We start from the raw sequence: 26910 nt of genomic DNA on the forward strand, positions 1-26910 counted from the left end.
GACAAAGAAGGCCATTACATAATGGTAAAGAGGTCAATTCAAGAAGAGCTAACTATCCTAAATATATATGCACCCAATACAGGAGCATCCAGATTCATAAAGCAAGTCCTTAGAGACCTACAAAGAGACTTAGACTACCACACAATAATAATGGGAAATTTTAACACTCCACTGTGAACATTAGACAGATCGACGAGACAGAAAGTTAACAAGGATATCCAGGAATTGAATTCAGCTCTACACCAAGCGGACCTAATAGACATCTACAGAACTCTTCACCCCAAATCAACAGAATATACATTCCTCTCATCACCACATCGCACTTATTCCAAAATTGACCACATAGTTGGAAGTAAAGCACTCCTCAGCAAATGTAAAAGAACAGAAATTACAACAAACTGTCTCTCAGACCACAATGCAATCAAACTAGAACTCAGGATTAAGAAACTCACTCAAAACCACTCAACTACATGGAAACTGAACAACCTGCTCCTGAATGACTACTGGGTACATAACGAAATGAAGGCAGAAATAAAGATGTTCTTTGAAACCAACGAGAACAAAGACACAACATACCATAATCTCTGGGATGCATTCAAAGCAGTGTGTAGAGGGAAATTTATAGCACTAAATGCCCACGAGAGAAAGCAGGAAAGATCTAAAATTGACACCCTAATATCACAATTAAAAGAACTAGAGAAGCAAGAGCAAACACATTCAAAAGCTGGCAGAAGGAAAGAAACAACTAAGATCAGAGCAGAACTGAAGGAAATAGAGACACAAAAACCCTTCAAAAAATCAGTGAATCCAGGAGCTGGTTTTTTGAAAAGATGAACAAAATTGATAGACCACTAGCAAGACTAATAAAGAAGAAAAGAGACAAGAATCAAATAGATGCAATAAAAAATGATAAAGGGGATATCACCACCGATCCAACAGAAATACAAACTACCATCAGAGAATACTATAAACACCTCTATGCAAATAAACTAGAAAATCTAGAAGAAATGGGTAAATTCCTCGACACATACACCCTCCCAAGACTAAACCAGGAAGAAGTCGAATCTCTGAATAGACCAATAACAGGCTCTGAAATTGAGGCAATAATTAATAGCTTACCAACCAAAAAAAGTCCAGGACCAGATGGATTCACAGCTGAATTCTACCAGAGGTACAAGAAGGAGTTGGTACCATTCCTTTTGAAACTATTCCAATCAATAGAAAAAGAGGGAATCCTCCCTAACTCATTTTATGAGGCCAGCATCATCCTGATACCAAAGCCTGGCAGAGACACAACAAAAAAAGAGAATTTTAGACCAATATCCCTGATGAACATCGATGCAAAAATCCTCAATAAACTACTGGCAAACCAAATCCAGCAGCACATCGAAAAGCTTATCCACCATGATCAAGTGGGCTTCATCCCTGGGAGGCAAGGCTGGTTCAACATGTGCAAATCAATAAACGTAATCCAGCATATAAACAGAACCGACGACAAAAACCATATGATTGTCTCAATAGATACAGAAAAGGTCTTTGACAAAATTCAACAATGCTTCATGCTAAAAACTCTCAATAAATTAGGTATTGATGGGACGTATCTCAAAATAATAAGAGATATCTATGACAAAACCCCAGCCAATATCATACTGAATGGGCAAAAACTGGAAGCATTCCCTTTGAAAACTGGCACAAGACAGGGATGCCCTCTCTCACCACTCCTATTCAACATAGTGTTGGAAGTTCTGGCCAGGGCAATCACGCAGGAGAAGGAAATAAAGGGTATTCAATTAGGAAAAGAGGAAGTCAAATTGTCCCTGTTTGCAGATGACATGATTGTATGTCTAGAAAACCCCGTCGTCTCAGCCCAAAATCTCCTTAAGCTGATAGGCAACTTCAGCAAAGTCTCAGGATACAAAATCAATGTACAAAAATCACAAGCATTCTTATACACCAATAACAGACAAACAGAGAGCCAAATCATGAGTGAACTCCCGTTCACAATTGCTTCAAAGAGAATAAAATACCTAGGAATCCAACTTACAAGGGATGTGAAGGAACTTTTCAAGGAGAACTACAAACTACTGCTCAATGAAATAAAAGAGGATACAAAGAAACGGAAAAACATTCCATGCTCATGGGTAGGAGGAATCAACGTCATGAAAATGGCCATACTGCCCAAGGTCATTTATAGATTCAATGCCATCCCCATCAAGCTACCAATGACTTTCTTCACAGAATTGGAAAAAACTACTTTAAAGTTCATATGGAACCAAAAAGAGCCGGCATTGCCAAGTCAATCCTAAGGCAAAAGAACAAAGCTGGAGGCATCACGCTACCTGACTTCAAACTATACTACAAGGCTACAGTAACCAAAACAGCATGGTACTGGTACCAAAACAGAGATATAGATCAATGGAACAGAACAGAGCCCTCAGAAATAATGCCACATATCTACAACCATCTGATCTTTGACAAACCTGACAAAAACAAGAAATGGGGAAAGGATTCCCTATTTAATAAATGGTGCTGGGAAAACTGGCTAGCCATATGTAGAAAGCTGAAACTGGATCCCTTCCTTACACCTTACACAAAAATTAATTCAAGATGGATTAAAGACTTAAATATTAGACCTGAAACCATAAAATCCCTAGAAGAAAACCTAGGCAATACCATTCAGGACATAGGCATGGGCAAGGACTTCATGTCTAAAACACCAAAAGCAATGGCAACAAAAGCCAAAATTGACAAATGGGATCTAATTAAACTAAAGAGCTTCTGCACAGCAAAAGAAACTACCATCAGAGCGAACAGGCAACCTACAGAATGGGAGAAAATTTTTGCAATCTACTCACTGACAAAGGGCTAATATCCAGAATCTACAATGAACCAAAACAAATTTACAAGAAAAAAAAAAAAAAAAAACAAGCCCATCAACAAATGGGCAAAGGATATGAACAGACACTTCTCAAAAGAAGACATTTATGCAGCCAAAAGACACATGAAAAAATGCTCATCATCAGTGGCCATCAGAGAAATGCAAATCAATACCACAATGAGATACCATCTCACACCAGTTAGAATGGCGATCATTAAAAAGTCAAGAAATAATTGATGCTGGAGAGGATGTGGAGAAATAGGAACACTTTTACACTGTTGGTGGGACTGGAAACTAGTTCAACCATTGTGGAATTCAGTGTGGCGATTCCTGAGGGATCTAGAACTAGAAATACCGTTTGACCCAGCCATCCCATTACTGGGTATGTACCCAAAGGATTATAAATCATGCTGCTATAAAGACACATGCACACGTATGTTTATTGTGGCACTATTCACAATAGCAAAGACTTGGAACCAAGCCAAATGTCCTACAATGATATACTGGATTAAGAAAATGGGGCACATATACACCATGGAATACTATGCAGCCATAAAAAATGATGAGTTCATGTCCTTTGCAGGGACATGGATGAAGCTGGAAATCATCATTCTCAGCAAACTATCGCAAGGACAAAAAACCAAACACCGCATGTTCTCACTCATAGGTGGGAATTGAACAATGAGAACACATGGACATGGGAAGGGGAACATCACACACCAGGGCCTGTTGTGGGGTGGGGGGAGTGGGGAGGGATAGCATTAGGAGATATACCTAATGTTAAATGACAAGTTAATGGGTGCAGCACACCAACATGGCACATGTATACATATGTAACTAACCTGCATGTTTTGCACATGTACCCTAAAACTTAAAGTATAAAAAAAAAACAAAAAAGAAATAGAGGCCATCATATATATTGATTGTGGCTGTAAACATTTTTATGAAAAATATGGTAGTTGATATTTAAAAGGTTTTTAAGTATTCAACCCCACAATAACAAATTAATAATTAAAACTTTATATTTTTTGGAAAGGACAATGTATCGTATGCATTTTTGTTGTTTTTTTCATTATGTTTCATCAATAACGTCATTGCTTATTTTAATAGTCAACATTTAAACAAGGTTATACTAGAAAATTATAAGTAATGTATGATGAAAATTTATAGCATTGTTCAAAGTGCAACAGTTAGAGGGATGATCAGGTTGCTAGAGTTTGAGAACAATTGGATTTGTTAGTTTTATTATTTATGTAAGCATAGTATAAAATGGTATTTAATTAATTTACTTCTATTTTATTGTATTTCAAAATTTCCTGTACAAATAAAGTACAGTGACCTGTATGTCCTCAGGAACTCTTAGTTTGTAGAGATGTAATTCTCTATTAAGATTTGCATTTCCTATTTTGGAAACATATATTTTAAAGGTCACCTTTACTGAAAGCATGAGTTGAAAACGTTATATAAAATCTACCAAGGGAGAATATTATATATGCAGAAAAATATTAACATAATAAGAAAGTAATAGTCATTTTAAGAGACATGCCCAAGTAGAAGGAATCCATTGTGGTAGGAAATCTTGCTTGCCACCACACTGACATAAATTTTATATATATATATATATATATATATATATATATATATATATATATATATATATATGTAAAAGACATTTAAATCACATTTTAAATAATAAGAATATGAATGTAGATATTTTGTTTTGCAGTATCACCCATGGCTCATCGTTTTAATTAAAAATGAGGCTTCCTTATAGTGTAACGAAATATTTCCAAAATACAAATGTACAGTTATACATTTATTATATATAAGGTTTTTCAAAGGCAATGCTTCCAGCTTTGCCCTTTCAGTATGATATGGGCTGTGGGTTTGTCATAAATAGCTCTTATTATCTTGAGGTATGTTCCATCAATACCTAGTTTATTAAGAATTTTTAACATGAATGGATGTTGAATTTTATCAAAGGCCTTTCCTTCATCTATTGAAATAATCATGTGGTTTTTGTCATTGGTTCTGTTTATGTGATGGATAACATTTATTGATTTTCATGTTGAACCAGCCTTGCATCCCAAAGTTGAAGCCAACTTGATCGTGGTGGATAAGCTTTTTGAGGTGCTGCTGGATTCAGTTTGCCACTAGTTTATTGAAGATTTTTGCCTCGATGTTCATCAGGGATATTGGTCTGAAGTTTTCTTTTTTTGTTGTGTCTCTGCCAGGTTTTGCTATCAGGATGATGCTGGCATCATAAAATGAGTTACAGAGGAATCACTCCTTTTCAATTGTGTGAAATAGTTTCTGAATGAATGGTACCAGCTCCTCTTTGTACCTCTAGTAAAATTTGGCTGTGAATCCATTTGGTCCTGGGCTTTTTTTTGTTGGTAGGTGATTTATTACTGCCTCAATTTCAGAACTTGTTATTGGTCTATTCAGGGATTGGACTTCTTCCTGGTTTAGTCTTGGGAGGGTGTATGTGTCCAGGAAGTTACCCATTTCTTCTAGCATTTCTACTTTATTTGCATAGAGGTGTTTATACTATTCTCTGATGGTAGTTTGTATTTCTGTGGGGTCAGTGGTGATATCCCTTTTATCATTTTTATTGTGTCTATTTGATTCTGTTCTCTTTTCTTCTTTATTAGTCTAGGTAGTGGTATATTTATTTTATCAATTTTTTTCAAAAATCAGCTTCTTGATTTATTGAAGGGTTTTTTTGTGTCTCTATCTACTTTAGTTCCACTCTGTCTTCTGGTAGCTTTTGGATTTATTTCCTCTTGCTTCTCTAGTGATTTTAATTTTGATGTAGGGTGGTGATTTGAGATGTTTCTAACTTTCTGATGTGGGCATTTAGTGCTATAAATTTTTCTCTTAACATGGCTTTAGCTGCATCTCAGAGATTCTGGTATGTTTTCTCTTTGTTCTCATTGGTTTCAAAGAACTTCTTGATATCGCCTTAATTTCATTATTTACCCAGGAGTAATTCAGGAGCAAGTTGTTCAATTTCCATGTAGTTGTATGGTTTTGAGTGAGTTTCTTAATCCTGAGTTCTAATTTCATTGCACTGTGGTCTGAGAGATTGCTTGTTATGATTTCATTTTTTTTGCATTCGCTTAGCAGTGTTTTACTTTTAACTGTGTGGTTGATTTTAGAATAAGTGTCATGTAGCACTGAGAAGAATGTATGTTCTGTTGATTTGGAATGGAGAGTTCTGTAGATGTCTATTAAGGTCCACTTGATCCAGAGCTGAGTTCCAGTCCTGAATATCCTTGTTAATTTTCTGTCTCATTGATCTAATATTGGCATTGGGGTGCTAAAGTTTCCCAATATTATTGTGTGGGAGTGGAAGTCTCTCTGTTAGTTTCTAAGAACTTATTTTATAAATCTGTGTGCTCCTGTATTGGGTGCATATATATTTAGGATTGTTAGCTCTTCTTGTTGAATTGATCCCTTTACCATTTTGTAATGTGCTTCTTTGTCTTTTTTGATCTTTGTTGGTTTAAGGTCTGTTCTGTTAGAGACTAGGATTGCAACCCCTGCTTTTTTCTGCTTTCCATTTGCTTGGTAAATTTTCCTCCATCCCTTTATTTTGAGTCTATGTGTGTCTTTGCACATGAGATGGGTCTCTTGAATAGAGCATACTGATGGATCTTGACTCTATCCAATTTGCCAGTTGGTGTCTTTTAATTGGGGACATTTAGCACATTTACATTTAAGGTTCATATTGTTATGTGTGAATTTGATCCTGTCCTCATGATGCTAGCTGGTTATTTTCACAGTAGTTGATGCCATTGCTTCATAGAGTCATTGGTCTTTATACTTTCATGTGTTTTGCAGTGGCAAGAACAGGTTTTTCCTTTTCATATTCAGTGTTTCCTTCAGGAGCTCTTGCAAGGCAGGCCTGGTGGTGACAAATTCCCTCAGCATTTGCTTGTGTGAAAAGGATTTTATTTTTTCTTTGCTTATGAAGCTTAGTTTGGCTGGATATGAAATTCTGGGTTGCAAATTCTTTTCTTTAAGAATATTGAATATTGGCCCCCACTTTCATCTGGCTTGTAGAGTTTCTGCTGAGAGATCCACTGTTAGTCTGATGGGCTTCTCTTGTAGGTGACCTTGCCTTTCTCTCTGACTGTCCTTAACATTTCTTCTTTCATTTCGATCTTGGAGAATCTGATGATTATCTGTCTTAGGGTTGATCTTCTTGTGGAGTATCTTAGTAGGGTTCTCTGTATTTCCTAAATTTGAATGTTGGTCTGTCTTGCTAGGTTGGGGAAGTTCTCCTGGATAATATCCTGAAGTGTGTTTTCCAACTTGGTTCCATTCTCCCCGTCTCTTTCAGGTATTCCAATCAGTCGTAGGTACAGACTTTTCACATAGTCCCATATTTCTTGTAAGTTTTGTTCATTTGCTTTCATTCTTTTTTTCTCTATTCTTGTCTGTCTACCTTCTTTCAGCAAGATAGTCTTCCATCTCTGATATTCTTTTTCCAGTTGATCGATTTGGCTACTAATAATTGTGTATGCCTCATGAAGTTCTTGTGCTGTGTTTTTCAGCTCCATCAAGTCATTTATGTTTTTCTCTACACTGATTATTTTAGTTAGCAGCTCTGTTAACCTTTTATCAAGGTTCTCAGTTTGTTTGCATTGGGTTAGAAGATGCTCCTTTACCTCAGCAAAGTTTATTACCCATCTTCTGAATCCTACTTCTGTCAATTCGTCTATCTCATCCTCCATCGAGTTCTGCACCCTTGCTGGAGAGGTGGTGTGATCATTTGGAGAAGAGACACTCTGGCCTTATGGGTTTTCAGTGGTTTTTTCACTGATTCCTTATGTTCATGAGTTTGTCTAGTTTTGATCTTTGAGGCTGATGACCCTTGAATGGCATTTTTGTGGGGACTTTTTTTGTTGATACTGTTGTTGCTTTCTGTTTGTTTTTCTTTCAGTAGTCAGGTCCCTCTTCTGTAGGGCTGCTGCAGTTTTCTGGGGGTTCACTTCAGGCTCTATTCATCAGATTTGCTCCCACACCTTGAGATGTCACTTGAGGAGGCTGGAGAACAGCAAAGATGGGTGACTGCTTCTTCCTCTGGGATCTATAACCTCATGGGGCATCAACCTGGTAACAGTAGGAACACTCCTGTATGGAGTGTCTGACAACACCTGTTGGGGTGTCTCATCCAGTTGGGTGGCATGGGAAGCAAGCCCCATTTAATGAAACATTTTGGTTGTCCCTTGGTGGAGAGGGTGTGCTGTGCTGGAGGGAAACTCTCTTATCTAGGCTGCTCAGATTCCTCAGAGCTAGTAGGAAGAAAGACTAAGTCTGCTGGACCATGGAGACTATGGCCGCCCCTCTCCCTAGGGGCTCAGGCCCAGGGAGATCAGAGTTCTGTTCCTGAGCCCCTGGCTGGAGTTGTTGGGGTTCCTGCAAGGAGGCCCTGCAACCACAGTGTTTGCTGCTGCCCCTCCTGCAAGGAGTTTAGCCAGCCTAGACAGCAGACAGTGATGATGGCTACCCTCCCCTCCGGGAACTCGGCAGGCTTAGGCAGATTCTAGCCCAGTGCCCCTGGTGGTGTGAGCTCACAAGTGGGATATTCCGATCTGTGGGTTGCACAGTTTCATAGAAAAAGCATGGTTTCCCAGGCTGGGTAGCATGCTTACTTATGGTCTCCCTTGGCTGGAGGTGGGGCCTCCCCTCCCCCATGTGGCTTTCAGGTGGGCTGCCGCACCACACTGCTGTTCCTTTCTTTCTATGGGCCACACAAGCGGCCTAGTCAGTTCTAATGACAGAACCTGAATATCTCAGTTGCTGGTGTAGGATTAGCATGAGTTTTGGATCTTATCAATGGGAGTCTCTGATTGCTGCTGCTTCCAGTCAGCCATCTTGTCCTCAGTGTTTTATACTTTTGATAACAGAGATCTTTGATGTATTTGGTTAAGTTAATTCTTAGGTATTTAATTGTATGTGTGGCTATTATAAATGGGATTACATTTTTTTCTTTTTCACGTTGTTTACTATTGACATATATAAATGCTACTAATTTTTGTATGTTGGTTTTGTAACTTGCAACTTTCCTGAATTTGTTTATCAGTTTTAATAGTTTTTTTTTGTGTGTGTGTGTGGAGTCTTTAGGATTTTCCAAATATAACATCATATCAGCAGTCACCAAGCATAATTTAACTTCTTCCTTTCCAATTTGGATGCCCTTTATTTTTTTCTCTTGTCTGATTGCTCTAGCAAGGACTTCCAGTACTATGTTGAATAACAGTGGTAACAGTGGGCATCCTTGTCGTGCTCCAGATCTTAGAGGAAAGGCTTTCAATTTTTCCACATTCAGTATAATACTAGCTGTTGGTCTGTTGTATATGGCTTTTATTATGTTCAGGTATATTCCTTCTATCAAAATAATTATTTTTAATGAATAGAATTGTTTTACATTTTAGTGAACAAACAAGTCCTTAAAATCTCAACAATAAGATTGTATAGTTCAAATATAGTTTTTCTCTACTTTTGACTTTCTAAAGTTGATTTTTTCCTCTCCTGATAAAAGTTATGTTATTGACTCTTTTGATGGTGAAAAAAATCAAACAAAATAATCACAATACACATCTTGGAATAGTTTTACTTCATCATTATCAATTGTCCAGGACTTGTTAAGAATGATTTTCTACCTCTACTCTTTTATTTCAGTTTTTATTTACTTTAATCTTGATTATTTTTATGTTTTCTGGGTTTTGACTTATATCATGGACAATGTGATTAATTAAGAAAGAGAAAAAGAAAGAGAGAATACCTTCTGTTATTCTTTTATATTTTATGGTTATAATCAGTGGTCTTCAGGCCATATAATCCTAGGATAAATAATATCAAATAGCAAGGACAGTGACAAAATTTCAATGCTTGATTTCCAACTTATTTTTTAATAGTAAATTCTGAAAAATATATAGGGTATCATATATGTTTCATGATGCAATTCTGATGAATACATTTTGGCAGTTTCTGTTTGCATTTGGAATTTAAGAGGCATACCAAATGAAATGGTATTGTACTGTAGTCACTAAGCCTAAAGGGCAGAAAAGACAACCTTTCTAAGTATGTATTCTCTTCCCTTTATATCATTGGAAGATCTGAAAACTTGACTTAAAAACAATTGGATTGTCTTTTCAATAGATTAGTCCACCCAGTGAGTTTTCCATTCAGCATTCTAATTTATGATTATATATTGAGCCATGACCTTCAATGCTGAGGTTTTATTCTCTATATTATATGTAGTAATTGTATAATTTTTCTTATTTATTGATGTTACTTTATTTCAAGATGTCCTTTGTTTCCAGTTCCAACTTAAGGCTTTACCAATGATGGATGCTTTTTGTCATGAGATTTTAAGAGCCCATAATAAAACGAGAATTCCAACATGGTCCTTACAAAATTAAGCACTTTGAGTGTTGATTCATGCCATTACTGAAACTACTAAAACCCCTTCACTTTTTTTTTTCAGATGAACACATTAATGCTTAAAAAATTTAAGTAGTTTGCCACTGATTTCATGTCTGTTAATGGCAACTCTAGCTCTAGGTCTTCAAGGTTCACTTTGGACTAAATCCAGGTTCCCACATGCTGTACATTTCGCCCATGATTTTCTGTATTTTAAATAATTACTTACATTTTGTTTTAGCCTTAGTTTCCCAATCTCCCTCTTCCCCATACACTTCAATTGTAATTGAGTTGCAGACAGAACTAAATCAATAGCTCCTGGAAACTGTAACCTCCACCTACCCATGTTAACAAGTTCTTTTCCTCTTGTCCACAACTGCAGGTAGTGATAAATGTGTAGTTCAATTGACTACTTTATATCCCCAGCTTAAATTCATAATGGAACTGTCAGTCAATAAGACAGTATTTGGTGGTCACATTCTAACTGAAAAATTTATTTCCTGACTGCCTGTCAGTATGTCCCAAAAGATAATGTTTTAAATCCTGAATGTGTGGTACATGTCTTTAATAGCATACGATTAGTAACCTAGTTAAAGATTTCTATAGTGATATTTTTCCCTCAAATAATCTAATATTTTTTATGACATGAATACTGATTCATAGCAACCAGGCTGTGTAGGAAATCACTTCCAATAAGTAGTCAAGGTGGTTGCCCCATTAAAGCACTTGCTATTTCTCAGAAAGCACAGAAGATAGGTTTTTAGGGTATGGAGGAAAGATTTTTAGAATTAAACCCAGAAAAAATAGCATTTCTGAATATCATTTACAATTATTAGAATAAATGAAGTTAAGCTGAAAAGGTTATTAACTTATCTTCCTGGGTTCTCAAGTGTAATGGAAAGGAGACAACAGCCAAAGACACACAAAAAGAATTGTATCTGGCTTGCTTTGCCTACTGCTATGCTGCACATTTTGTATTTCAATTAAAATTTTTAATTAAGAAATTTCAACTGTTGTAAGTATGCTTAACAACTAACATATTCATATAACCTCTAAATGGAATAAGTCTCTGTTAAGAGGTAATAAACTTGGATATTAACATGATTCTGATCAAAAGATATGGAGATGTATTTAAATTGAAATTGGCATTATGTTAATGTAAAATGGTAACTCTCATCTAGTTTGGGGCTGTTTTAATCAGTATATTAAAATGCATTTTAATATTTCACTACTCTAAACCCATGGAAATAGGAGGCATTTCAAGCTTTGATAATATTCTTAACAATATTTTAATACATAAAAATTTAAAAATAACTTGTGATCTTCTTTGTCATTTGTAGTATCTGGAGCAAAGATTCATTGAGTGTAAAATATGTTTTAAAATGTTACACATTGATGCATTTTTGTAAGTTTTCATCTATATTGTGTCATCCTGACCTGTCTCTGACTAAGATGATCATATATTACAAGTACACTAAATTTTTCACTTGGTAACCTTATTCCAACCCTTGCCTCATCCATTAATTAATTCATTCATCAATTATTAATTTCAATCACTTAAATAACTCACAGTCTGGTTCAGAAGATAGACAGTTAGGTAATTAAAATGCTGCAGTTACCTTTAGAAGAACCTGCCCATCCCATGGCTTCCTTCTCAGTAAAATGATCACCACTGACATGGAATGCTGAACCTGGCCACTGAAGCCTGGTTTTTCTAGGTGGATTACTCCTTCATGTACAGTCTTGAAGATAAGTGCCTCCTGATATTTTAAAAGATATTCTTGTGCCTCTTATGGGTACTGTATAAGCAGAACCTTGATTTAATTTCCAGATTGTTAACCTGTAGCAATTTTTATTACAGAAGAAAAAAGATTGAATTGTATTATAGTTTTAATATATTCATCAGCATATAAAAAACTTTCATATGTACTTCCTGAATCTAAAATAAAAGTTGAAATTATGCGGAAAAAAAATGACAGGGTCACCAAGCAGGCAAGGGAGGAAAAGTCAAGGGAGGGAAGGAACAATACATTTAAAGGCACTGGGGGAATAAAAGCGCATGTATGAGACTATCGGACATGACCATTAATGTGGGATCCTACAATGGATCCTGGAACAGAAAAATGACATTTGTGGGCCGGGCATGGTGGCTCACGCCTATAATCCCAGCATTTTGGGGGGCCGAGGCAGGTGGATCACGAGGTCAGGAGATCGAGACCATCCTGGCTAACACAGTGAAACCCCGTCTCTACTGAAAAATATGAAAAATTATCTGGGCATGGTGGCGCGCGCCTCTAGTCCCAGCTACTCGGGAGGCTGAGGCAGGAGAATGGCGTGAACCCGGGAGGCGGAGCTTGCAGTGAGCCTAGATTGCGCCACAGCACTCCAGCCTGGGCTACAGAATGAGACTCCATCTCAAAAACAAAAACAAACAAACAAACAAACAACAAAAACAACAACAACAAAAAATGACATTTGTGGAAAACCTATTGTGAAATCCTAATGAATTCTGTTTTAATAGTATATATGTATATACTCACACACTATTATATATTCTATATATTTATGTATATGTTTGTGTATTTATGTGTATGTTTCTGAAATAGAGTATGTGTGTGGCACACAGCTGACATATGCTCTATTTCAGAAACATATTTTTGAATAATTTTTTTAAAACAACATGTTTCCTTCTCTGACCTGGCTTTTGCCTTAACCCCTATTCCTCTTGTTCACTAGTTTAACTAGCAAAATATTAGAAGATCCTAATTTTCTTACACAGAGATTTCTTTTTAATAGAATATTGTTTTTCAGATAAATTGCCTTTCTTCCTAAGACACTACTAAAAAATACAGAAAAAATAATATAATTCCAAACTGATGCATATTTACTGACAAAGCATGCTATTTGAATTCAGACAGAAGTACGTTTGAATTTCATACATATTATTTTGCTTCTGGTCACTTCTGAATTCCAGATTCCTCATCAGTAGAAATGATGAACTTACCTAACTGACATCCTGTGAGGAATGAACCAAGTTATACACATGACTACACCTATCCAGTGCTCAGCACATGGTAGAATCTTAATAAATGAAAACATCTTTTCTCTTTCCATTTGTTACCTACTTGCTACTAGTCTCTAAATTCATGGCACATTTATTGAATAAATGATCCTGTATGTCCTTTTGGACACATTAGTTGACCTCATTGCTCTCTGTTTCCTCACCTACTAAATAGAGAAATGGAATCAGATCTATTCTAAGTTTGCTTCTATCTCAAAAACTATTTTAAGAACAGGGATATAAATAAGATTCACTCAGAGAGAGAATATAACTAATGCCTTGGAATAAGAAATTTCTGGTTTTGAATATATAATTGATCACTTGCTAACTGTGGGACTTTGGATTAATGGCTAATATTGTGAAGGCTCAGGTTTTTTCCTCAATAAAACAGAGATAATAATATTGTCTATCTTAGAAGTTTCACTTGAAGATTGGATGACATAATATGAGGATTCAAGGGATTTTCAATAAATAATAGCAATTATGTGATGTTAATATTATAATCATTATAATTTACCATTACCATGTTATCATTATCACATTACCACTTTAATTTTGCAATAGAGAGGGTTGGAAAAAATTTAAGTTTACTGTAGCTTTAGCAAAATTATTGTCTAGGAAATTTACGTATTCTAATTTTTAGGAACTGTGAACCATAAAGTAAATATTTAATTTTATTTGAATACTTAATTTGGGGCAATATTGATCTAAGAATATATTTAACCTTTTTATTTATTGAAGAATACATTGTTGAATATCTAAAATTTTCTAGACATGGAGCTACAGCAGTGGAGAGAAAAATTTTATCTTTGTCCTCATAGGGTTTACAGTCTAGCAGGAGAATTGGGTGATGTAATCTTTATTAGTTAGCTTTTGCAATATGAAAGAATCCACTCTATGATTAGAGATTTAAGACAATAAACAGTTACTAGGTCTCATTATTCTATGGATTAGCTAGGAAATTCTTTTTTTTGCTCTGGATTAATTTGGCTAGAGGTGGGGAAGATGAACTCACTGAAATATCTAGAAGTTTGATGGGGGCCTGTGTGGGCAATGAGATAACTTTACCAAGGGCCTGTGGTTAAACAACATAATTGCCTGGGCTCTTACACATTCTAGTGGTTGTAAAATTCCCATAAACAAAGATAGAGCAAGCCCCAAGTGTCAGCAATTTGCAAATGCCTACTTGCATAATGTTTGTAATTACTTCATTAGCAAAGCAAATGACTGGGACAAACCCAGTGCCAGTATGGGGGTAGACCACTCAATCTATCACATGGCCTATTGACATGTGATTCAAAGCGGGTTCTGTTGTTGTTGTTGTTGTTGTTGTTGCTGTTTTTTGGAGGACGAGGAGAATGGACTAGAAGAGGCAATGTGAGCATAGAGGACACTTTGAAGCCCAATGTTCTGAGGTTGTTTAAGAAAAAGATAGCTACCTCCTCATGGGTCTGGAGTGATGCAGAGTCATCAGGGCAGAGTTAGGTTTTAGTTTGAACAAGAAAGAGAGAGGGACTTTCCAAACAGATGAACAAAAACCTGCAGGGAATAGGAGATTTGGATAAGAATTGACAATAATTTCCTGAGGGTCTTGGGAGTTGAGGGGATATGCTAGATGAGATCAGATTAGGAGATTAGAGGCCAGGTAATCAGGGTAACCTGGATTTTCAGGTTCATTCCGGAGACCAGTGTATTCCTTGCTTAGGAGGTATCAAATGGAATGTTGTGTTTTTCCATACTTGGTTACTTGGTTCTAAACAAATAAAGTTATTAAAGGACCAGAGAATTGAGTTATTTCAAGTTTGTCAGAAATTTAGTGGCCCTAACTGGAGGCTTTTTCATGACAAATAACAAATAGATGTTGTTGAGCCCAGCTGTGTGTAGATGTGTAGGCTGGTTTGTCTGATAGAGGTTAGTTTTTATTCCTTAACAAGCACAGCCACCACAGACTCCTCACCTTTCTAGCACTTAAAAAGCTCACCCTTTCCCCCTCATTATCCTACTCAATGCCTTTCTTCTTCTAATGTGTGTTCACTTGATTGACAAGTAAGTAAACTCAGCATTGCTGAAAGGGCTCAATTTTCTGGAGTATAAACACTGGCTCTTGGTCTCAGTCGAGAAAGAATTCAGGACAGGGACACACATGAGGAGTGAGTTTAGGAGTGGAAAGTTTAATAGAAAAAGAAAAGATAGAGAAAAAGCTTCCTGATGCTGCGAAAGCAGGTGGCCCAAAACAGGGTCTCCAATTTGCCAGGGAACACGATTGGTTTTGTACAGAGGCTTGAAGAGGTGGTGACTGATTTACATAGGGCTCAGGGGTTGACCAGGTGTGCTATTTACCTAGCCCTGGAAAAGACTGGCCCTCCCACCCTAGTCTTTTATTATGCAAATACGGCCTCCACCTGGCAGCAGCCATAATGCCTGCACAGGTTGTTTTACCTGGAGGCTGCCATGATACCTGTAAGGAAAAGAGGGCAGGAGATGGCATATTGAATGTACCTGGCTTCTAGGTACAGCTGCCAGTATTTACATATAAAAGCTCCTACTTTGCATGTCTATGCCTGACTTCTCAGGCTGCTTTCTGTTTAGACAGGAAATGGTTTTGAGCTGCTTTTTATGAAAGGAAAATTCCACCGAGAACTTTCACCCTTTCTAGCTGCCTAAAAATTATTTCTTAATAACTCTTGTATTATTGTCTTTTTATTGTTTATTTATTTATTTATTTAAGATGGAGTCTTGCTGTGTTGCCCAGGCTGGAGTGCATAGCGTGACCTCGGCTCACTGCAGCCTCTGCCTCCCGGGTTTAAACGATTTTCCTGTCTTAGCCTCCTGAGTAATTGGGATTGCAGTTGCGGGCCAGCACGCCCATGCAATTTTTTGTATTTTTAGTAGAGATGGTCTTTCACTGTGTTGGCCAGGCTGGTCTCGAACTCCTGACCTCAAGTGATCCGCCCGCCTTGGCCTCTCAAAGTACTGGGATTACAGGCATGAGCCACCATGCTCAGCTTGTCTTTTACTTTTTAAATAGGATCTGAGGATCTTGGGTTTTTTGTTTTTATTTTTGATAAGAGCCTAAGAAGACTAACGCTGGTGGTTGTAGTACAAATGATGGTGGTGACTCAGTGAGTGTTGTGAGTGGGGTTGGGGAGGGGATTACTGGGGACAGGGAGGAACACTTTCCAGGAGCGTGTAGAGTTCTGCCAAGGATATGTGAGGGCAAGGTGGAAAAAAATCTATCATATCCAGACCTCTAGACCTCACATCTAACATCCAGAGCACAAAGATACAATTTTTATAAAGGGTAACATGCTTGCTGTGATTAATAAAATGTTCTATATAGCCAGATATTTTGTGAATAGATGAAGTGGAAATTTTCCCAATTTACTTATCTCTATATTTAGACATAGATTTCTAAATATTCTTACCTTACTTTGTTAATTAAATCCAGATTTATCATCTATGAATAAGTCTAAATTTATCCTCTATGAATATATCTAAAATTCCTTAAATTTATTTACGTGCATGAACTACTTGTTACTGCTCTGTATAAATAGAAGACTTGCAATTTAACAGTTTTATTGTTATTTTTAAGTAAATCTCAGTGAATTCTCCTGATGTTAGTAGACTAAAATTTGGGAATAAGTTTATGTCTACCCCATCCATAAACTTCATTATTTTAAAAGTCGTTATCTTATTTCTCAGCTTTTTTCTTTCCAGTTTAAGGAGCTCTCATTTGTAGTCTGTCATTATCCAGAAGGCTCTCCATATCCTTGATCAAGAGTAGAAAGGTTAAGCTTCACTTTCTAAATCAGAACCTGAAGGAACTTGATAAGAGACAGCCAAAGTCAGGGATCATTAATCACTATCATGCAAGAAAAATTGAGAAAAGTATCAAGAAATGCAGCATTGTCGTTTGGGGCCCACTTTCTTTTTTTTCTGTTTTAATTTTCTTTCAAAATTTGAACAACATACATTAAGATAATTAAATTAAAAGAATCTTGAGTTACTAAAGGCTTATGGTAAAAATTTGTTTTTGAAATGATATAGTCTCAAAATAGCACTTTTTAATAAAATGTTATTTTATAACATTTTATAATAAATTTGGAGTTAAATTATTCTTCAGGCTAAACACAGTCACACAAAGATGTGAAAATATGGAATTTTCTTGTATTTCTCTCTATCTCTTCATATTGCTTCCCATCTGCATCCCCCAACTGACAAAAAAACATATCAACCATCAAACTAAGTGTAGTACTTGTGTAATATTTTTCATATCTAGGTTCTGAGAGAAAAATCTTTACAATTCATTTTTATAAATATTTTTATGGAAGTAAGTTATGGGTTATAAGGGGATCTGCAATCAGATAGGGATGAGATTGTTTTGGGGGTCAAAAAAGGAAAGGAAGAGAGAGAGATATAGTGTTAGAGAGAAAGAGCCAGAGGGAGAGCAAAAGAGAGAGATTCAAAGAGGTTCTTCAAGGGAAATAGCACCTATGCTGGATATATTGTTCTGAGAGATTTTAGGCAATGGGAGATTATGCATGGGTGGTTGTTGACAGTTACGGGTGTGGAGCTCATCCAAGCAGAGTGTTGGAAATGAGAATAAGAAAAAAAAATAGGAATAATTTTAGAAGCTCTAAATCAGCGGTCCCCCACCTTTTTGGCACCAGGGAGCGGTTTTGTGGAAAACAATTTTTCCATGGATGGCAGGGGGAAGACAGTTTTAGTTTTGGGATGAACCTGTCCCACCACACATCATCAGGCATTAGATTCTCATAAGAAGCATGAAACTTAGATCCCTTCCATGCACAGTTCACAGTAGGGTTCGCACTTCTAAGAGAATCTAATGCTGCTGCTGATCTGACAGGAGGTGGAGCTTAGGCAGTAATGCTTCCTAGCCTGCTGCTCACCTCCTGCTGTGCGGCCAGGTTCCTAACAGGCCACAGACTGGTACTGGTCCATGGCCCAGGGGTTGGGGACCCCTACTCTAAATAATATGAACTCAATTTGGACCAATAGATAGAAAGTCAATGATGGATAGCTAGGAAAATGACCACCACTAAATGTTGTTAGTAGTTTTGCATACTTATTGAGTAAGTACGTACCCAATATTCTAATGGAGAGAAGAAATTGTGACAATTGGTAAGGAGTGAGAATATGATTATCTCTGTGCAAATGAACATCTACTGTTTCTTCAACTTGCTTTTACAAAGGCTCTGCAATATCCCTCACACTGTTTGCTTGTATTCCAATCATCCTTTTAGGTTTCAGGTTAATTTTGAAGTGAGAGGACATAATTTGAACACATTCAAGCATCTAAAGATACTGCTTTGCATTTGTTGGTCTCTTCTAGTCACTTTCTTTTCATAACTACCATTGATACCTAAAGAAAATCTTTGTCTTGGTTGGGCATGGTGGCTCACGCCTGTAAACCCAGCACTTTGGGAGGGCTAGGTGGGTGGATCACGAAGTCAGGAGATTGAGACCATCCTGGCCAACATGGTGAAACCCTGTCTGTACTAAAAATGCAAAAAAATTAGCTGGGCATGGTGGTGCTCATCTGTAGTCCCAGCTACTTGGGAGGCTGAGGCAGGAGAATTTCTTGAACCCTGGAAGTGGAGGTTGCCCTGAGCCGAGATTGAACCACTTCACTCCAGCCTGGCAACAGAGTGAGACTCCGCCTCAAAAAAAAAAAAAAAAAAAAAGAAAATTTTATTCATATATTTTAATGGTTATTCTCATTGAATTATTTTGTATTACCTGGTTAAGTGCATGATTTTTAAAAATATATTTAATATAATTATATTCACAAATATTATTGTGAACTTTTTTATACTGGGTAAATAAATGGAATCTGAAAACAGATGTAAACTCCTACGTGATTACCTTAGACTCTTTGTGAAGTTTCTTCTCTTAAATGTAGGAACATAATCCTGCAGACTGAAGGTTGGGGGAAATTTTTTAAGATTTTAAAGCTGTAAACTTTCTAAGGCTTAAAAATGATGGGTTTGGCTACATCAAAAATAACAATATATATTGAACAAAAATTCCACAGATAAATTTGGCAGGTTATGACATGAAGAAAGGACTTTTGCAATGTTTAAAACTAACAAGTTACTAATATGTAGACTACAAAAAAATACCTTACACATCACCAAAAAGAATGAAGATCCAAGAGAAAAACGAAAAAGGAAGCCTGAATGGCTGACAAGTATATAAAGAATTGCTTTAACTCATTAGAGAAGTACAAATTAAATAAGTTAAACAATAGGAGAAGTTACTTCATAATGTGACAAGTATTGGAAAGATGGATAATGATAATTACTCTTGGAGGTGTTGATAGATGGGAGCTCTGAACTGGGAAATGTACATTAGTGAGGCTGTACTGGACCAACCTGACTGAATTTAATAAAACCATGTATTTGCATCCTCTAAGGCCCTGTATTTCATTCCTGGGTATTTAGCTTAGAAATGTTTTCACATAGGTCTGTAAGGTGGCATGTGAAAGGATGTTCACTAAAGCCTTATTTATATTGGCTGGGAATTGAGGGTGACCCTGGGTATCAATCATTATAGTAATGGATCAGTAAAGTGCTGAAAATCTGTAGTATTGAACACTTAGCTGCAGTAGGAAACAAAAATTTAATTATTTGTAGAACAATAGAAATCTCAAAAATGTTGATGAATGATAAAGGTAGGTAACAGAAACAGATTTGGAAAACATTAACATTTATGTAAATTTGAAACCATACTTCCTCTTCCCACAAAAACTGCATATACTATAGGACAAATTCATAGATAAGGATATATATTAAATACACTGGTATAGGTACTTATGGGGGAGTAGGATGTTAAGGGAAGAAAGAGACATAACTGAGCTTAAAATGCATGAAACAAAAGTGAACAGAAGAGGTGCCATTACTGGAGATGTGAAATACAATATACTACTAATAGAAAGATATGATGAACTCACTGGTATTCCTTAGGATTAAATACTTTTCTTTACAAAGTATTTTTCTTAATACCTGACCAAACTTGAATAAATCAATAAATCATAAAAATATAAATTACACAATTAAAAATGCATTATAGTATTTAAAAGACTTATCAAAAAGATAGAATATTATATTTTCTAATGCAGTCATTTGAACATGCTGTGTTTGTGTGACCGATCTTTTAACATTCAATAATTCATACAGCAAAAGTGTTTTAAATCACAGTGTGAAGGAACAAATATAGTAGCAAAATTCATCTCATTTAACAAAAGATGAGTAAAAATCGACTAATCCTTAGATGCTTATTAAACTTTGAGTTAGAACTAGATGACCAATGATAAACAAATGATGCAACATGAGTCCAGTCAAAAATCAGATGAAAAACTTAACACCTGTATAATTTCCACCCAACCTCTTGGAGCATATAATCTCTCTCTTTTCTTAAATGGCAATGAAATTCACACACATTCATTTACAGCTGCAATCAATATTTATTGTTAATACTCTTTATATTTAGTTTCTAAAACTTCCTAGTAATCACTATAATGCGATTTTAAGTAACTGCCTAAAGCAATACAGATTTTGTCATAAATAAGAAATTAGCTATGGCAAAAAGAACAGCATATTAACATGCACTGGGCAACTGTTCCAATTCTTGGTTTTCTTTTAAACCTCAATAGTGTTACTCTCTGCTATTATCACACATTTTGCAGGCAACTTGTCAAGTTTTGGTTGTGGTTGTGTTTTCTCTTTCTGGTAAATGAGAATTTTCATATCTTCAAGTTACTAAAGAGAAAGGTGGAAAAAAAGAAACAAAACACACTTGGTTTACCAAATTGCAGAGTCCAGAACTAAATTAAATGGAAGCTGGGGTGAGGGAAGTTGGCTTTTTTGACAATGTAAAGTTGAAGATTTGATAGTGGATGTAATTATATTTTTCAGAACCTGTAATAGTTCTGTGCTATGCCAGAGATTATTTGAAACAGCTATAGAATCTGATAGCTTCTTTAGGACCAAGGAGTAACATGCTGACATGTGAAATGCTGTCAGTCTGCTTCCTCTTCTCTATCTCCCTTCCACAAATAGGGTGTGTATTATTTTCTCTTTCACATCACTTTAACTCCTACCTCCTCCACAATCTGATAAATATTTATATGCACTACACATATTGTTTAAGGAAAAAGCTTAATGCAATGAATCTTTCAGTGTTTGAAACTCAAAAAACCATACTCATGCATTTCCTCCTACTTCGGGCACTGTTATCTTTTCTCTGAGACAATGGCCACCACAGACTAAATTGAAGATGAAGCTCATGGAGAATATCTTAGTATATTCAAGCTGCTATAACAAAAATATCATGAACTGGGTACTTATAAACAAGAGAAAATTATTTCTAAGAGTTATAGAGACTAGAAAATCCAAGTCAAGACTCCAGGAGATTCAGTGTCGATGAGGGTTATCTGTTTCATAGATGGCACCTTCTCACTATGTCTTTACATGGCGAAAGGGACTAGTTAGATCTCAGGAGTGTCTTGTGTAATGGCACTAATTCCATTCATGAGGGCAGAGCCCTAATGACCTAATGACTTCCTCAAGGCCCCACCTTCTAATACTGTCACAATGAGGGTCAGGTTTCACTATGAATTTGAGAGGCACAAAAACATTCAGACCATAGAAGAGAGCAGATGTTTCAAGAAAATGTAGGAAAAAAATCAGCACTCGTGAATATGTCAAAATACTGTAAGATTTTAGCAAATACTGGTAGCTATCTTCCTTGAGTCCCAGTACCTGTTTTGCCCTTCTTATATATTGTAATGGAATATTAAGCTGGGAACTTGTCTGACTAGCTAAGTAATACATTCCACAGCCCTTTTGCAGCCAGTGCAGCCATGGAACTAAGTTCTGTCAATCAGAGATGAATAAAATGGTAAATTTACATGCCAGGGCAAGCCCTTAAGGAAAGGGTTGTGCTCCTCCTGTCCCTTCAGTTTTTCATTTTGTGGCTTGGAAACTGGACACAACAGCAAGTCATCTGGAACCTTATAGATGAGGGCAATAGCACAACACAGCAAAAGAAGCTGCTGTGTCAGCCCAGTGACATCACAATGGCAATTACATTTCAACATGAGTTTTAGAAGGGACAGACATTCAACAACAACATTCTACTCACTGCTCCAAAACCTCCTCTCCTTCTCACAAATAATATTATTTATTCCATCCCAATAGCCGCTTAAGAATTCATTCCAGCATCAACTCAAAAGTCCAAAGTCTCATCTAAACCAGGTATCGGTGAGACTTAAGGCATGACATAACGCTGTGCTTAAGCTCAGACTGTAACATCAGAAAGCTATACATTTATATATCACTTCAGTCAACTGTTATCCTTACAACCTAGCTATAAAATGATTTTTATATTAATCCTACAATTTGGAAAACACTATTAAATATTCTTCATCAAAACTTGCACATTGTCTTTGTTTTGTGTTACTATAAGAGGATACCACAGATTGAATAATTTATAATAAACAAATTGTTTGGCTCATGGTTCCAGAGACTGGGGAGTCTAAGATTAACAGGCCAGTATCTTGCAAGGGCCTTCTTGCTGCATCATTCTATGGTGGATGGGAACAAAGAGAGTGAGATAGAGAGCAAGAAAGGGAGAACCCCCTTCCAGGATAAAGGCATTGGTTCATTCCTGAAGATGGAGCCATCATGACTCAAATACCTCTTAAAGGCCCCACCTCCCAATACCATCACAATGGCAATAAAATTTCAACATGAGTTTTGGAGGAAACAAACATTCAAATCATAGCACTTGTTTAATTCCACTTTCAAATTATTATTTAGGTTTAATTAATCTTATATATGGCTTTATTCATTTAAGGCAGATCCTTAATACATTCAACTTCAGAAAGTGGTACATCTTGATTCTTTTATAAATACAAGTTAAGAAAATTAGAAGATAACTACCTTATTACAATTATTTCATATTGTCATAAAATTTTCTTTAATGCATAGACAATAAATATTAAGAATTAAAACCTTTCATAACCAAAAACCAGTTATCTTTATTTGAAGACTTTCTGATGGCCTAAACAGAAAACTTAAGGGAATAAAATGAAAATCTATTTAAAGTAACAAAAGAGTTCACTAAGATGTTTGTTTCCCAGATGAATACAGAACAATTAATAGCTTATATATACCAATAGTAATCCATTTGGAACTCTTATGGAAATAAGACTCCTTTCGTGAACAGAACAAAACTCCAGTGAAGAAACTTCTAAACTTTATTAAGAAATAAAGAGGAAATTGAAATAACGCATGAGGCAGATGATGACATTTTTGAATGGAATGACTTGAATGTTATTTACATGTCAATTTCCCATAAGTAATTTTTGTTTGATTTAATTCCTCTGAAATTCCTAATGGATGTTTTGGAACTTAAAAATTCCCTTTTATTCTGTGTAACAATAACATATTTTTTTATTTGGTTCAAATAGCTCTGTTTTAGATTCAAACATATTGAATTATCTTTTAAGAATTCTGAAATTAGTTTTAGATTGCCTCTTCAAGGCAACTGGCTTATTGATTGCTCATAATATAGTGGCATCAGCAGTGTTCAAAGAGCATGCATGAGTGGAAGTCTTATCTTAGGGTCAAGTGGAGAAGAGGAAATTGAAAAAATAACCTAAACTAAAACAACAGATAGTGTTGGTCCTCAGTTATGAACTAAAAATGAACTTCTTTAAAAAATATTTTGGAACATGCCACATTTTATTTTACTGTTTATACTGTATTTTTAATATCATTAATATTTTGAATCTATAGTCTTTTACCACTTATGGAACATATTTACATATTTTATCTGACATTTTTCCTGTTAAGCCTGATTATAGAAATGGTTGTCATCCCATGGTTATACGTAAAGAAATTAAGAATGAGAGAAGTTAAAAAATTAAGAATGAGAGAAATTAAGAATGAGATAAGTTTCAAGTGAAACAGGGAGTAGTAACTCTTGATTCCTAATCCAGTGCTCATTCTGTTATCCCATGTTACATCTGAATAGTCATCTTTAATAATAAATAGCAGTGAAATTGGGCATCAAGCGTTTCTTCTCACTGATCTGGCCTTTAAGTCAAAGCCATCGATTCTCCTTTAGCTTCTGTTCCTGTAATACATAATGATTCTCCCTTGATTTCTCTTGCATCACCACAACCAGCTAATTTTTGTATTTTTTTTTTAGAGAAAGGATTTCACCATTTTGTTTCATTTTATTTATTATTATTACTTTTTGAGATGGGGTTTCACTCTGTCACCCAGGCTGGAGTGCAGTGGCACTGTCTCAGCTCACTGCAGTCTTGACCTCCCAGGCTCAAGCGATCCTCCTGGCTTCAGCCACCTGAATACCTGTGACCACAGGCACACACCACCACACCAAGATAATTTTTGTATTTTTTTTAGAGAAAGGATTTCACCATGTTGCCCAGGCTTGTCTTGAACTCCTGAGCTTAAGTGATTGGCCAGTCTTGGCCTCCCAAAGTGCTGGGATTTTACAGGTGTGAGCCACTACACCTAACCCTCTCTTAGCTATTCTGTACTGGCTTCTTCTGTTTCACCCACTCCACACATGTTGGTGTTATCCAGAGCTGGCTGTATTCTTCATTTTCGTCTCTTCTAATTATAGTGTTCTCCTACGTACTTTTTTTTTTTTTTTTTTTACTGTTTATGTACCTGTATCTTCTAAGTCAGTGTATTTACCTTCAGGTCCTCCCTAGAGACCCATCCAGATCTTCAATCTCATTGTCTTCTCAAAATAGGCCTCTTCACCAGTTATACTATTTATTCACACTGTATAGATGAAAATGTCCCAGAAAGCCTAAGCAACTTGCTCAAGTTCTTTAAGATAGAAAATGACAGAGTCAAAATTTAACCAAGACTTGTCTTTAAAGCTTGTTTTATTTACATTTAATATTGCATAGCACATATAGCATCATGTTCTCTCTCTCTCATTATTCAGTAGACTTCCCTCAGGCATAAATTATATCTTGTTTATTTTTGCATCCTAAAGTCTAACAAATTGTATAGCACATAGAAGATGTTCTCTAAAGGTCTTGATAATAAATGATCATAATAATACCGGGGCCTATTTTTATGTGAAAGAGTATGATCATAAAATGTAAAATACCAATTTATGCTTTTTATTTCCCATTCATTGCTAACATTATTTTGTTCCACCTGTTTTGTGCAGCCTATTCCAGTGACACATCACTTCTTTTTCTTTCTAGAATAAAATAAAACAGCCTGGGACATTGGCTGCTCTAAATTACAGAAGGTAATTGATCATGTACACTTTCACTAAGCTGAAGCTAGGAAATGACCTTACTGCTTAATCTGGATTCTTCCTGTAATACAGCTGCATACAGTAACTGAAAATTAGTAGGCTAAATAAGCAACATAGCTCATGCTATGCATTGGAGGATTAACTACAAGAAACACGATAATAAAGGATATTCTGCCACAGCTATCATGGCCATTGTAGCTCTACATTTTTACTTGGTTTCACCTCTTTTAAATCAATGAGCTCTTTGGGGAGCTGTCTGTGTGAGAGAAAATGTATCACACGGTGCATTTGCCTTCTATTCATTTTATTGTCTCAGTCACAGTAGAATGACCTCATTTGTCCTCTAATTTGCTCACCTCTTCCAATATGCTTCTTGTTCTAAAAAGCTAAATCTCATGCAAATACTATAAGCCTGTAGCAATTTTCTGCCAATTACACTGAAGTTGAGTAACATTTTCCAACTCTTCAAAAATTACCTCCTTTCTCATATATAAACTGATATTAATCTGTCCCTTTGGCCTACCTCTATCCAAAATTGGAGCCAGTCATGCTGAGCTCCCCCAGCATCACTTACATTTCATTGTCAATATCATTCCTTAGATAAAAAATAAAATGTTGAGGTGTTTACCAACTGCAGCCAATGCTTGAGATGATAATTTGTAAAAAATGCAAATGTGTGGCTTTATTTTTTATGTGTCATTAATTGCATAATCCCCCTTTGACAACTTTATTCATTTGCTAACAAAACATTAAACTGAGAAATCGCAGTACCTACAAATGAGGAGTAGGAGGTGGAAAGTAATTTTAGCAGGATTTCTTCTTATGTATCTTGATCTTAGCTTTAATGACTGAAGTTTGATTTTCACTTATTGACTGGGACATGAACACAAAAGGTTAAAGTATAACTTACCTAATGCTAATATTTGCAGTCTCTTGGTGTGTCAAATTCTCAAGCTACTGAAACGTGTACATTTTATTCTTTGGGCAAACTATGTTAATCATAGTTTGCTGAACTTATTATGTGGCATCGTAAATATGAATCTTTGTAAATGCCTCTTTTCTCTGCTTAGACTATCTCCTCTGATTTTCAGATTTCTGTCACTTCAAATCTCAACACCAAGAATATTTATATACTAATGTATGCTTCTTATAACTTCTATGAAACTGTTGTTACTTAAGAGCAGCTTTTATACATTCT

The 26910-nt window shown here is 36.0% G+C and overlaps 2 long non-coding RNA genes across 5 annotated transcripts in view, besides 1 other annotated feature; one reads left to right on the plus strand and one right to left on the minus strand.

The window, feature by feature from the left end:
* The window catches only part of LOC105375629 (uncharacterized), a 113196-nt gene extending 90757 nt beyond the window's left edge, over positions 1-22439 (minus strand). For 2 of the 3 annotated variants that reach the window (XR_928383.4, XR_001745651.3), the window contains exon 1: positions 11935-12018. This is a non-coding gene — a long non-coding RNA (uncharacterized LOC105375629). Of the gene's footprint in view, positions 1-11934; positions 12156-22308 lie in introns of those variants that run through there. The other variant, XR_007060999.1, reaches the window with a different exon arrangement.
* LOC105375630 (uncharacterized) overlaps positions 1-26910 on the plus strand; it is a 559756-nt gene that overhangs the window by 248613 nt on the left and 284233 nt on the right. The gene's annotated exons all lie outside the window — the stretch shown is intronic.
* Positions 15544-16149: an enhancer, noted in NCBI's record as "OCT4-NANOG-H3K27ac hESC enhancer chr8:89604229-89604834 (GRCh37/hg19 assembly coordinates)". NCBI's record gives its function as "activates a minimal SCP1, AML or CMV promoter by ChIP-STARR-seq in primed H9 embryonic stem cells {active_cell/tissue: H9 hESC(primed)}" and the evidence as "EXISTENCE:reporter gene assay evidence [ECO:0000049][PMID:30033119]".

Source organism: Homo sapiens, chromosome 8 (genome assembly GCF_000001405.40).
Source record: "Homo sapiens chromosome 8, GRCh38.p14 Primary Assembly".
Taxonomy (NCBI): Eukaryota; Metazoa; Chordata; class Mammalia; order Primates; family Hominidae; genus Homo; species Homo sapiens.